This window comes from Homo sapiens, chromosome 8, assembly GCF_000001405.40.
Source record: "Homo sapiens chromosome 8, GRCh38.p14 Primary Assembly".
NCBI lineage: Eukaryota > Metazoa > Chordata > Mammalia > Primates > Hominidae > Homo > Homo sapiens.
This window is the reverse complement of record NC_000008.11, coordinates 38,953,410-38,966,145: the sequence shown is the minus strand read 5'-3', so window position 1 is coordinate 38,966,145 and position 12,736 is coordinate 38,953,410. Positions and strand designations below refer to the sequence as shown.

The 12,736-nt window shown below is 43.9% G+C and overlaps 1 protein-coding gene across 8 annotated transcripts in view, besides 2 other annotated features; it reads right to left on the bottom strand.

Moving 5' to 3' along the window:
* Positions 1 to 12,736, bottom strand: part of PLEKHA2 (pleckstrin homology domain containing A2) — a 72,567-nt gene that overhangs the window by 7,767 nt on the left and 52,064 nt on the right. For all 8 annotated transcript variants that reach the window (NM_021623.2, XM_047422067.1, XM_011544607.4 and 5 more), the window contains one exon: positions 8,760 to 8,823. In NM_021623.2, the coding sequence (NP_067636.1) occupies positions 8,760 to 8,823 (64 nt within the window). The remainder of the gene's footprint in view (positions 1 to 8,759; positions 8,824 to 12,736) is intronic.
* Positions 8,151 to 8,400: an enhancer, noted in NCBI's record as "active region_27270". NCBI's record gives its function as "activates an Ori minimal core promoter by ATAC-STARR-seq in GM12878 lymphoblastoid cells {active_cell/tissue: GM12878}" and the evidence as "EXISTENCE:reporter gene assay evidence [ECO:0000049][PMID:35858748]".
* Positions 8,421 to 8,580: an enhancer, noted in NCBI's record as "active region_27269". NCBI's record gives its function as "activates an Ori minimal core promoter by ATAC-STARR-seq in GM12878 lymphoblastoid cells {active_cell/tissue: GM12878}" and the evidence as "EXISTENCE:reporter gene assay evidence [ECO:0000049][PMID:35858748]".

Genomic DNA, 12,736 nt, shown 5'->3' with positions numbered 1-12,736 from the left:
GGGCAAAAAGGGTGTAGTGACAAGTGGCCAAAGTGAACACCTCTCTAACGTGTGCTCTGCCTGCAAACTTACTAGCGCTGTCTCCCCGCTTGACTTTTTCCAGTTATTTGACAATCTGGTGGTTTCCCAAGAAAAAGACAAACCCATCCTTTGTCCAAAAAGATCACCAGGATAAGGACTCCAAGATCCTTCCAGAAGGTTCTTTACAAATATCAGGGCTGGCCTGTTCCACAAGCTTAATTATTGAGGGAATTAAATGACCTCAATTAGGAAAAACTATTGAAACAGGGCCGAACGCACAGAATGGGCTCTGTAAGTAGCAGATATTATTGTTGTTTTCACTGGTATTATATGATATGCGACAAAAAAATGAAGCCTTAAACGCCACCATTTACAGATAAGCGCATTGCCCTCTCCATAAGAAGACCTTTTCTCAGTTTCCTCATCCTCAAACTGCAGCTAATTCCTACCTCAAAGATCAAATCATCAAGATCAAATAAGATCATGTATTTGGAGGTTAAAAAAAAGGTTATTTTGAATTTGAATGAGATGGAGGTCATCATCCATTAGGAGAAAAGCATTTATTAAGAGATTTTCCTCCTAGGGGAACAAAAGATGATTTGGTAGGAGGCATATGAGCTGAGGGAGAAAGTCTCCTATGTCACATAGGAGATCTGACATTTTCATTAAACAGACAGGAACATCCCCAGGATGACAATCCGATAATCAGTTTCCAGGGGTGTTAAGCTATCTCCATGCTCCTTCCAGCAGTCTACTGAAATGCTCTCCGTCATGTCAAATGCTACCCCCACAGGCCACAGGCCACCTGCCTGACTGCGCTTTGAAGTACTGCCTCCCCACAAACTCCTTCTCCAGGAACTGTCACACAGGAAACCCAGGTGTCTTCACCCAGCCTCTGCTTAGCAAGAAATCACAGAATCACAGAAAACTAGGACTATCCTGATTTAGATGGGCACTCAAGTACAAGAATCAAAATACCACTATTATTCTTGGATGACTACCTAATACAATTTGTTATTTTTTCCCCGTTTTCCTTTTTGCAAGTAATAAGGGCTCATTAAAGACAATATAGATAATAAATGTAGAAAAATAAAAAATTAAAATCGGCTGGATACTGTGGTTCAAGCCTGTAATCCCACAATGTTAGGAGGCTAAAGTTTAGAATGTGGGAAGATGGCTTAAGCCCAGGAGTTCGAGACCAGCATGGGCAACAGAGCAAGACCTCTTCTCCCTAACCTTTGCAAAAAAAAAAAAAAAAAAAAAAAAAAAAAAGGGAAGTAACAAGAAAAAATAAAATAAAATCACTTTAAAACCTCACAAAATTCTAAAATAACAATTGAGAGCAAATCCAGTCTTTTTGCTATTCATTTCTGTTTTCCAAAATACAAAGATACATTATATCTTGATTTTTTTTTTCAGTTAATAATAGAAGGATTTTTCCATGTTACCAGACGTCTTTGTAAGCATTTTCAGGGGATCCAAGTAGATATACTATGGTTCACCCACCTAGTCCTCTAAAACAGTGGTCATCAACCTTTTCAGCATAGGGATCGGTTTTGTGGAAGACAATTTTTCCATGAACTTGGAAGGGTAAAGGGAGGGGGATGACGGGTGGTTTCGGGATGAAACTGTTCCACCTCAGATCATCAGGCATTACATTCTCATAGGAAGCGCACAACCTAGATCCCTCACATGCACAGTTCACAATAGGGTTCGCAGTCCTATGAGAATTTAATGCCGCTGCCGATCCGACAGGAGGTGGAACTCAGGCGATAATGTTTGCTCTCCCACTGCTCACCTCCTACTGTGTGGTCAGGTTCCTAACAGGCCATGGACCAGTACCAGTCCACAGCTTAGGGGTTGGGGATCGCTGCTCTAAAATATTTTTTGAATATTCCCTATTCTCCTCATATGAATAATGCTGCTACTCACATCTTTGGGGATAAAGCTTTTTTCGTATTTAGGAATATTTAGGAACCCTCAGCTCCCAAGGCAATTACTAAATTAAAGAATTCACACCCTTTTAAATCTCTTCTTACATCTGGCCAGAGAGATTTCTGGCCAATAATATAAATTTCATTTGCCAACATTTTTGTTACATGCACCCTTGCTAGAATTAAATATTATAATTTTTTAAATCTTTGCTAATATGATAGGTAAAATAATTAAATCTCTTTCTTAAAACATTTAGTAATTTAGTGAAGACGGAAATTGTTTACTAGTTATATTTCTTCCCTAATTCTCTAATTCCTTCTTAAGAACATTTTTCGGTCAGATAACCTAGATAGTAACTCAGCCATGAAGATAAATGCTACTCCCTAATAAATGTTATTTTAAAATACTGCTCAAAAAGAAAATCAGATATTGCAATGAATTCCATATGAGAAGAAACAATATTATTTTATTGAGATCACAATTACAATGTTTTATTTTTAAATTTTTTTTGGAGCAGGGTATTCCTGGCCTCAAGCAATCCTCCTGCCTCAGCCTCCCAAAGTGCTGGGATTACAGGCATGAGCCACCAGGCCTGGCCTATAATCTCTCCTAGTAGTTTTAAGAACTGGGATTCATGAGAAACAAAAACTCAATGAAACTCCAAAATTGTATGCAAAAATTATGGTTATGTACATATCTATTTTTACGGAAAGCCTGTGCTTAGCTTTCATCAAAATCGTAAAACCACATCACAAAGTAGCTTCATGAAACAGAGGTTTAAAAAAATATATATAGCTGAAGTCTACCCACCCATGATGAATTACCATGAGACTAAAAACATACTTTAAACTCAGTAAAACAAAAAAGGAAGTGCCAAGGTCATAGCTTCATCTCTTCCTGGTGTGCTTATGTGTGTGCACCTGTTTCTGGTGCTCGGTTCAAAAGAAAAAGCAGGGCTTCTGTCCTTGAGGGCAGTTTTTGAGATGAGTAGGACAGACAGTATTAAAATGAATCGTTGCAGCCTGCAGTTTTATTGTAGTCCAGTGAGCTTCTATTGACTATCTAACATAAGCCCAGCACTATAATAGATACAATGGTTTGAAGCAATGAATTCTAGAGGCCATAAAGGCTTCCATATCTACTTCTGGTTACTGCCATTGCCGCTATCCAAAATTTTTAGGCAACTCCTCCTTCATTCTGTTCTCCACCTCTGCAACCCTCCTTTCCCAAGAACTAGTGCCATCTCTAGACACAGCCCTGCCACATACGATTGTGTAGATTGCACACTACATAGTTCTAGGTGACATCATTCACCCTGTAGTCTAAATTAAACAGTAAGTATCCGAAGAGCTCTAATGCAACACTCTGCAACTCACTTGAGTCCACTTATTGCTACTCTTGTCCTGACATAGCACCCTAGTTCTAACAACTGGGCTTATGCCAAGCTAAGACCAGTTTGCACCACATTTCTCATTTCGAATAACTAATTTCCCTCTTGATAAACTGCCTAATTCCCTTGACATTCTATGAATGGGAAATGGGGAAATGGTGACCTCTACTTGCCTGGTAGCTCAAGAATTGAAATGTGATTTTGAACTTTTGCCCAGAACTGAGAACTGTTTACCTGCTTACAAGCTTGCTGAAATCACTGGCCTTTCTACCTGCTTAGATACCTGGTTATTTCCAGATCTTGGATTTTTGGTCACCATGATCCATTTGCCAAGACACCCAATTACCCCAAGTTGGTCTTCTCCAACAGAGTCAGACTTCCCTGGTTGTCTGTGACCACACCCTCTATATCATGGGTTCTGGACCAGGCTGCTCTTATTTTTTTCTTTTCTTTTGGTTTACTTTTGCTTGTTTTTAGAGACAGGGGTCTCACTGGGTTGCTGAGGCTGGTGTCGCACTCCTGGGCTCCAACAATCCTTCCACTTTGGCCTCCCAAAGTGCTGGGATTAGAGGTGTGAGCCACTGCACCCGGCCTGGACCAGGCTGCTCGCAAACAACCCAAGTTGGCAAATCTTGCTCCAGCACCTGGTGCTTCCCAGTTGGTTCCATAATTCACTGGATTTATTATGATCCTGCACAAATAATTTACCTTCAAAGCCTTCTTTTTCCTGTGTGTAAACTGGAGATAATTTCAGAGACGGCTGAGATTTAAGTGATAAACTTATACTACTTATAGTACTTATACTACAAAGTGATAAACTTTAACTTATACTACCTGTAAGTTGTTTAGCACTATGCCTGGGACATCTAGGTGTCCAAAAAATGGTAGCTTTTCTTAACAGAAAAGACTACTACAGTGTGAGAAATCACAGGGTACAAATTATACGTAAATATGACATCTGAGTTAAACAGTTAAACGACCAAGATCTAAGTGGTTAGAATCTAACCCAAGTCTTTCTCTTCTGTCTAGGGAGTCTTCTCCACCATGATCTGCCCTGCTCTTTGGTCTAGCTCTCTTAGATACTCAGGATGAACGGTTCTTTCTGGCAGATTTACTGAGCATAACCTTGGGGAGCAGGTCAGAAGGACACTTTGGCATGGTGGGTAAAACTGCCAGCACCTTAGCACCAAGCTCTACCAGTAGGCATATTCTTTCATCTTTTGTGTAAAACACAATTTTTATTATTTATTTATTTAATTTTTTGAGACAGAGTCTCACTCTGTCTTCCAGGCTGGAGTGCAGTGGTGTGATCTCGGCTCACTGCAACCTCCGCCCCCTGGGTTCAAGAGATTCTCCTGCCTCAGCCTACCAAGTAGCTGGGATTACAGGTGCGCACCACCACACCCCGCTAATTTTTGTATTTTTAATAGAGACAGGGTTTCACTATGTTGGCCAGGCTGACCTCGAACTCCTGACCTCAGATGATCCACTGCCTTGGCCTCCCAAAGTCCCAGGATTGCAGGCGTGAGCCACCGTGCCTGGCCTAAAACACAATTTTTACTTAGAACAAATGACTGACATACAAACTGTCAGTCAAACTTATTCCGAGTTAGGTATTTGGTAGATTTTTATCCCCAAAATGAGTAAGCTTTGAGCTTTCAAAGCAAAAACTAGAATTTCAAAAAAAATTCTGGCTACCTCCATGAGCTTAATAGTTTTCTACACTCAAAGACTGTTAATGATATTAGTGGTGATATCTTAATGATGTGATTTTGGATAGTACATAATAAAATGTGTCAACATTTTGAATATCTGCATACCTCAGTGAGACCATTGTTTTCCAAATGACCAATGCATACTGTTAAAAACCATGCATGGATAAAAAGTATCTATTCAAAGTGCAAAATTGACCAATGGATTTTAATGTAAGAGTATAAAAATTTCTTGATATGGCTTCAGATTGTACATTGTACCTAAACATTAAGAAATTAACATTTGTCAAGTTTTGGTATAGAATCAAAGAATATCCACAATTATCTAAAAAGGCTATTAAAATATTCCTTTTTTCCAAATACACATCTGTGTGAGGCAAGATTTTCTCCATATTCTTCAATCAAAACAACATATGGCCACAGATAGAATGCAGAAGCAGATAGGAGAATCCTGTTGTCTTCTATTATGCCAGCCATTAAAGATAGATGTGCAAAACTGTAAAAACAATACTATTCTTGCTATTTTTTAGAAATATGTTTTTTTCACAAAATCTGTTTTATTAACTTATAATGAGTTTATGATTGCTCATTTTTTTTTGAGACAAGGTCTTTAAAGGGTCTTGATTTGTCACCCAGGCCGGAGTGCAGTGGCGAGATCATAGCTAACTGCAACTTCAAACTCCAGGGCTCAAACTCTCCTCCTGCCTCAGCCTCCCAAGTAGCTGGGACGACAGGTGCATCCCATGGTGCCCAGCTTGATAGTTGCTATTTTTAATGAATTGATAAATATTTTAAGTGATTTTTAATCTATACTATTCTCTTTCCACTGTTTTTTGAGTTAGGTGCTGTAAACAGATTTGTCCTCCCTCTCGTTTACTTATTCAGTGTGACGCTAGTGTTCTCTTATCCCAGAAATGTGGGAAGCAGAAGGCAATGGAAGATGGGGTGATTAGAATCTTCTGGTAAATGTGCATACACTCATGTAGATTATCTTTGGAACATTTTTTGGTTGGGTTTCGTGTTTCCCAAATTGCTGTCTTTAGTCCAAAGCTCTCTCCTGAACTCAACCAGCACAATCATTCCCTTAGCAAATATTTATTTAGTGTCAGCAACATGCCAAGCAGTGTGTATCCAATGGTCTTCATAGCACATCTCCTTGGATGTCCAGCAGGCACTGTAAACTCTGAACCACCTATGCTAACCTTGTGTTTCCTCTCAACAGCTCCTCCTCCCATGCTCCTGTTACAATGACTGGTGCCATGAGCCATCCTGAGGCTCCAGCCAAACATCCGGGCATACCTGTCCTCTCTCCCTTCATCCGACTGACTCTCAAGTCCTGGAAAATATACCTTTTTAATATCTCTCAAATTTTCCACTTTTCTCCATCTACCCTCATTCAGGCTTCCTTTATCCTTCACTAAATTATTAACAACAGCCTTCAAACTGTTCTCTCTCATCCTATCTTAGCCTTTTCTCTTCTGTCCTCCACACTGCACAGGGCCAGGCAATCCTTGACAGCATGTCATTAAAAGGGCTGGGGTTGAAGATCATCATCTCCATTTCACAGATGAGGAAAACAGGCACTGAAGTTAAATAACTTGCCCAAGTGGTATTTTTTAATGGCAAGGCAGATCAGATCAAGCCCTTTGTTTAACCTCTAAGGGCATTAATTCTAAGGATAAAATACGAGCTCTTCAATAAGGCATATGAGGGTCCTCCGTGCCTAACTGTCCAGCCTCCTTTTGGCCCTTTGCTCCTTTTATTACCAGGCTTTAAAAAAATACCTCCTATTTCCTTTGCCTGGGCCACTTTTCCCCCAACAGACTGAGCTTAGCTGTATCTTTCTTCAGAAACCCTCCCCAACTCCCTAAGACTGGGTGAGGCGACCTGCTTATGGTTCACGTTTCAGTCTAATGGCAGTAGCACTTATCACACCATTTTTTTTTTTATTTTGTATTCCCCTACCCACTTCAGGGAGGACCTGTAATACATTTCGATTACTGTCACATTCTGCATTTCCTGCTAGGATCACTTGACCTCCTAAATTTTTTTCTCAATTTGCATACATTAGGTCAATTCTTTGTGCTGTCAAGTTCTTCATCACACACCCACCATCACAGTGTCATACGGAATCGTTTCACTGTCTGCAAACTCCCCTGTGCTCCATCTCCCCCAGCACTCCCTCCCCTGCGCCATGCCACAGTTTAACTGCCTATGGACTTGACGAGCTCTCTCTCTCTTGGGTTCGGGATCTGTTCTGTTTAACCTGGTGTCCCCAGCCTGAGACAAAATGCCCAGCACTCTGAGGATACTCTACAAATATCTGTTGAATGCAAGAACTACAAACTTGTAGAGCAATCTACAGGTTAAACCTTGTCCCTGAGTGGCAGTGTTGCTGGTGAATTAGTAGCTCCGATGCCCATGGCAGCCCTTTCCACAGCTCCAGTTCACTCCCAAGCCCCCACTCCGCTGTCTCTTCCTGGATGGTATGTGCTTGTCCAAATGGATATAGCCCCGAGATGACTAAGTTACTCAAACACGTGCTGGGCTCGGCGGAAGGAGTTGTGACAGGAATTGCTGCCCAAGAAATGGGAAAGCGGACCAGCTCCTTGGGGAAGGGAGGTTGCTTAACAGGGAGTGACACTCGAGGCCCAGAAGAAAGGGCAGCGGGAGCTTGAAAAGCTTTAGTTGGGAAACCACACCTTTAAACCAACCTGCTTACTTGTCAGTTTTTTATTTCTGTTCTTTTTGTTTCCCTTTTTTTTGAGACAAAGTCTCGCTCTGTCACCCAGGCTGGAGTGCAGTGGTATGATCTCAGCTCACTGCAACCTCTGCCTCCCGGGTTCAAGCAATTCTCCTGCCTCAGCCTCCCAAGCAGCTGGGATTACAGACACCACCATGTCCAGCTAATTTTTTTGTATTTTTATAAAGATGGGGTTTTCACCATGTTGACCAGGCTGGTCTCAAACTCCTGACCTCAAGTGATCCGCCCACCTCGGCCTCCCAAAATGCTGGGATTCCAGGCATGAGCCACCGCGCCTGGCCAAGTGTCAGTTTCAATACTAAAAGTCCAGCATCACCACGGGGCTGCGAATCAAGGCACTCTCTGTGCACTGCTAGGCAAGCTGGGTTAGGACTTGGCCCTGAAAGTCTAGTCCCTGCTTGGAAATCTGCCTTTCTAGTTCCTATGACTTTAGAAGGAGTTGGGAGAACTCCAGAGCTGTGGGTGGAGGGGAGAAGCTCCTGATAAGTGAACCATCAGAGCCTGAACAATGGCTTCCTCTGTGCAGCTGGGCTCTGCACCTGGTGCCTGCACAGGGCCCTCTGTGCTTTTGTCCTTCCGCACACAGTGATGTCCACACACAGACGAGACTTATAAATACCCTCCAAAGGAGAAGTGAAATCATTGACCGGTTCTCCTTTTCTCTGCTTAGCTGGAGCCCAGCAGCTGAGAGCAACTGGTACACACTCACATTCCTCAGTAGAGCGGCTCAACCTGCTTTCATTATTTTATGGTTGGGAAGCTTTTGGCAAACATCCTGTTTAGGATGAAATGGGACTCAGACTGACTCTCAGGGGCTAAATTTACTGCCTAGAAACTTCAAGCAAATGAAAAGAGAAAGCAAAGGAAAGGACACGGCCTGTGAGGGCACCATTCACAGAAACAGAATGCTGGAGTCTTCTGGAAGGGAGCATTTTACCTGTACGTAGAAGGTCCTGGAGCTTGTTATTATTTCAAACAGGTTGTCCCTCATTAAGAGATCACTAGACAGAGAAAGAGAAAGAATGTTATGGCGTGCTGACATACTCAGAGAGGACTCGATATGTCCTAAGACCCCAGTGCCCTCTACCATAAAAAAGGAAGATGGGTGGGGGGTGGTTCCAAGCCATTCTTCCTTCAGCTCCTGCCTTGAAAAACACTCCAGGGGTTTCCTCTAGCTTCATTTCCTAGAGGGTCTCAGGAGGCTTTGCCATCCAGATGGACCCTCCCCAGGCCCCTCTCCCACCAGCAGTTCTAACAAGCTCCTTTCCCTCCAAAACCTCCTGCCTAATATCCAACCCCACCACCACCATCTCCTACAGTTTCCTTCCTTCCTGCCTCCCTCCTTCCCTCTAAGGTGTATGAAGTGCTTTGTGGGAAGCACCGTTTCGGGTGCTTTTTTGTAGATTATTTCATCTAATCTTCACAACAGCCCCGGGGGGCACTTAAGACTTCCCCCATTTTACAGATGAGGAAACCCAGACCCACACTCAGGGTCAGAGCTTAAATGACTCCTCCAAGTTGCTGGAGATTTGGAACCTAGGTCTGACTCCAGAGTCTCTGCTTTATTTATTTATTTTTTTGAGACAGGGTCTCGCTCTGTTGCCCAGGCTGGGGTACAGTGGTACAATCATGGCTCACTGGGGCTACAGGCACATGCCACCACTCCTGGCTAATTTTTATATTTGTCATAGAGACAGGGTGTTTCCATGTTGCTCAGGCTGGTCTTGAACTCCTGAGCTCAAGCAATCTGCCTGCCTCAGCTTCCCAAAGTCCTGGGATTACAGGTATGAGCCACTGAACCCAGTGAGCCTATGCTTTTAATTACTCCACTGCCATTGGCCTCTCCTAAGGGAGCCAACTCTCCGCTCCCTAAACCGTCTCCTCCACCCTCACAGCAGCCCCATCAACCTCACTCAGCTCCTGCTCCTTGCCTCACTGTGCGGGGCCCAGGAGACAAAGAGCTAAAGAGGAGGAAAGCAAGGGGAGAGGAGATGACCTCAGGGCACTCCTTTAGGGGACACTGCTGGGTGTGGGTTTTGGAAAAGAAATCCTGACTTCTGCAAGGAAGAGGGCGGGGAGTAGATGATGCTCAGTGACAAACCTCAAAGCAGCCCAAGTTATTTCCCAGTGTTAAATGCCTGCCGCGTATATCCCCAGCCACTGCGGGGAATACATAAGGAGTAAAAGATCTAATTCCTACCCAGTGAAAGAACATAAGGGCCAGGCGCAGTGGCTTACGCCTGTAATCCCAGCACTTTGGGAGGCCAAGGCAGGCAAATCACTTGAGTTCTAGGCCAGCCTGGACAACATGGTGAACCTTGTTCTCTATAAAAAAAAATACAAAACTGAGTCAGGTGTGGTGGCACACATCTATAGTCCCAGCTACTCGGGAGGCTGAGGCGGGAGGATCACCTGAGCCTGGGAGGCAGAGGCTGCAGTGAACTGAGATTGCACTCCAATCTGGGGACAGAGCAAGACTCTATCTCAACAACAACAAAAAAAGAACATAAGGAAGCAAAACTGTACCATCAGATGTTAGATTGTGTGTTATATGCCAAGAGTTGGAAAGGACTGATCACAGGTGGGGTTGGCTTTATGAATGAGAAAGCCTGCAAGAAAATGGCACTACCTCGGCCAGTGCCACAGGTACCTGGGCAAAGGAGTGCATGAGACCAGAGATCCATGAGCAAGAACAACAGGATAGGGGCCAGATAGACCTGGGGTGAATCCTGACTACATGTAGGGAAGAGATGTTTGAGAATGTTGTAAAAACTTGGGGAGCCTTTGTGACCCCAGGTATAAAACAGAGACAAATAAGAGGACCCCCTTGATCAGGCTGGTCACTACAAAGACCAGTTAGTTATAAGGTACAGAAGGCATCCGGCATAATGTATGTCACAGAATAGTCACTTGAAGCAAATTTCACCAACTATGATTACTTTCTGAGTTTCTGAATAAAAAATGCCTCTTTCTGGCTAAAATGTCTTAGCCTTTCAAATTCTACTCATGCATAGCCAGTAAAGTCACATAAACAACTATTGAGGAGGTGAAAGAAAAGCAGGTGGGAAATCCCCACTCCTTTCACATCTACTTCTCAGGGTGGGAAGGGCAGGAGGGGGGTGAGGGATAAAAGACTATGCATTTGGGCACCGTGGACACTGCTGCAGATGGGTGCACCACAATCTCAGAAATCACCACTGAAGAACTTTTCCATGCAACCAAACACCACCTGTTCCCCCAAAACGATAGAAATTTTAAAAAATGTAAAAATTTATTTATTTATTTATTTGAGACAGAGTTTCACTCTTGTTGCCCAGGCTGGAGTGCAGTGGCACGATCTTGGCTCACTGCAACCTCCGCCTCCCGGGTTCAAGCGATTCTCCTGCCTCAGCCTCCCAAGTAGCGGGGATTACAGGCACCCACCACCATGCCCGGCTAATTTTTTGTATTTTTAGTAAAGAAGGGGTTTCGCTATGTTGGCCAGGATGGTCTGGAACTCCTGGCCTCAGGTGATCCGCCCGCCTCGGCCTCCCAAAGTGCTGGGATTGGATTACAGGTGTGAGCCACCACGCCCGGCCTAAAAAGATATATATTTTTTTAAAACGGCACCAGGCTACATGGTGCCTTTCAACAAATATTAATTGATTATCAAGATATCCTAAAACCCTGGACTGGGTTCCAGGGAGGCCAAGCAGTCTAACAGGCATGGAAGCTGCAGAGCCCTAAGGACCTTCCTTCCCTGCTAGTCCCTGACTTCCTTAACTCAGTTTAGTGTGACTCTGGCAGAGTTAGAGAGTTAGAGAAAGTTCAAGGCATTCTTAGGATTTAACCGTAAGTTCCTTATGGTTCTCTAAGCTTCCCCCATGTGCCCAGGTGGTCTCACATCTGCAAGGGCCCTCCAGGGTCAAGTACAATCAAGGATCTCATCATGCCCAATCTTCCCTCTGCCTACTTCTAGAGCCACACTTCTGGAATTTCCATCTATAGCTACTTTCCCGAATTATAAATAGTCACTGGGAACCTCCCCAGTCTTCTGTACTCTGCAACTGCCATTTGCAAGACTCGGGAGAGTGCTTCTGTCTCTGCCCCCTTGGGTCACACAGCATGTTGTTTTCATGCAAGACTGTTTGTGCCTTCATGGGAGAAGAGTCGGCCTGCTGTGAACAGCTTTCCTGATGATATCTGAGGGTTCTGCTTGTACAAGCCATGAGACGGAGGGACACAAACACCCTGTCTCTAAAGACTGCAGATTGGTGGCCAGAAAAAGGGTTTTTGGATGCCCCAATACCCTTAGGGTCTCTAAAGTTTAGTTCTATAGGCATCTGTATTTGGTGTTGGACCTAGGAGATCCCTTGCCAGGTCCCAAACTCATCCTATGCAAAGTGGCACTTGGAAGGTAACTATTTCCTAGTGGACAGAGGAATCCCTTTAAAATACCTGTTCTTCCTTCCCAGTGGGAGTAACACAGAGATGCTATGAATCACCTTGTGTTAATGGGACATCAGGGTCAAAAGGAGGAGAAAAGGAATAAGAAGGTCAGGGAAGAGGCACTAGTACAGTGATCTGACCAGAAGCACTGAGGTGAGTGACCTAGAGGCGTGGTCTCTCCTCTGAGCCTGTGTTCTGCTAGGGATTGAGCATCTAATCCTAACACCTGAGAAGCTTCGGAGCCCCACTCTTTGTTTCTATACCCTTTCTTTTTGCCCACCAGAAACTATTACGTAGGCCTATCTGCTTAGGAGCCAGAGTAAGGTATGGGAAGAGGGCAAGTGTGCCCAGGGCGGTCTCCTCCCTGTGTTAGCTTGGATGCAGTGAGTCAGCCACAAGGTGTTAGGCTCCTGTGCCTGGCTCTTGGAAGAAGATGACTCTTGCATAGAGTCTCTGAAGGGTAGTAAAGGGAGATTTAAGAGGACA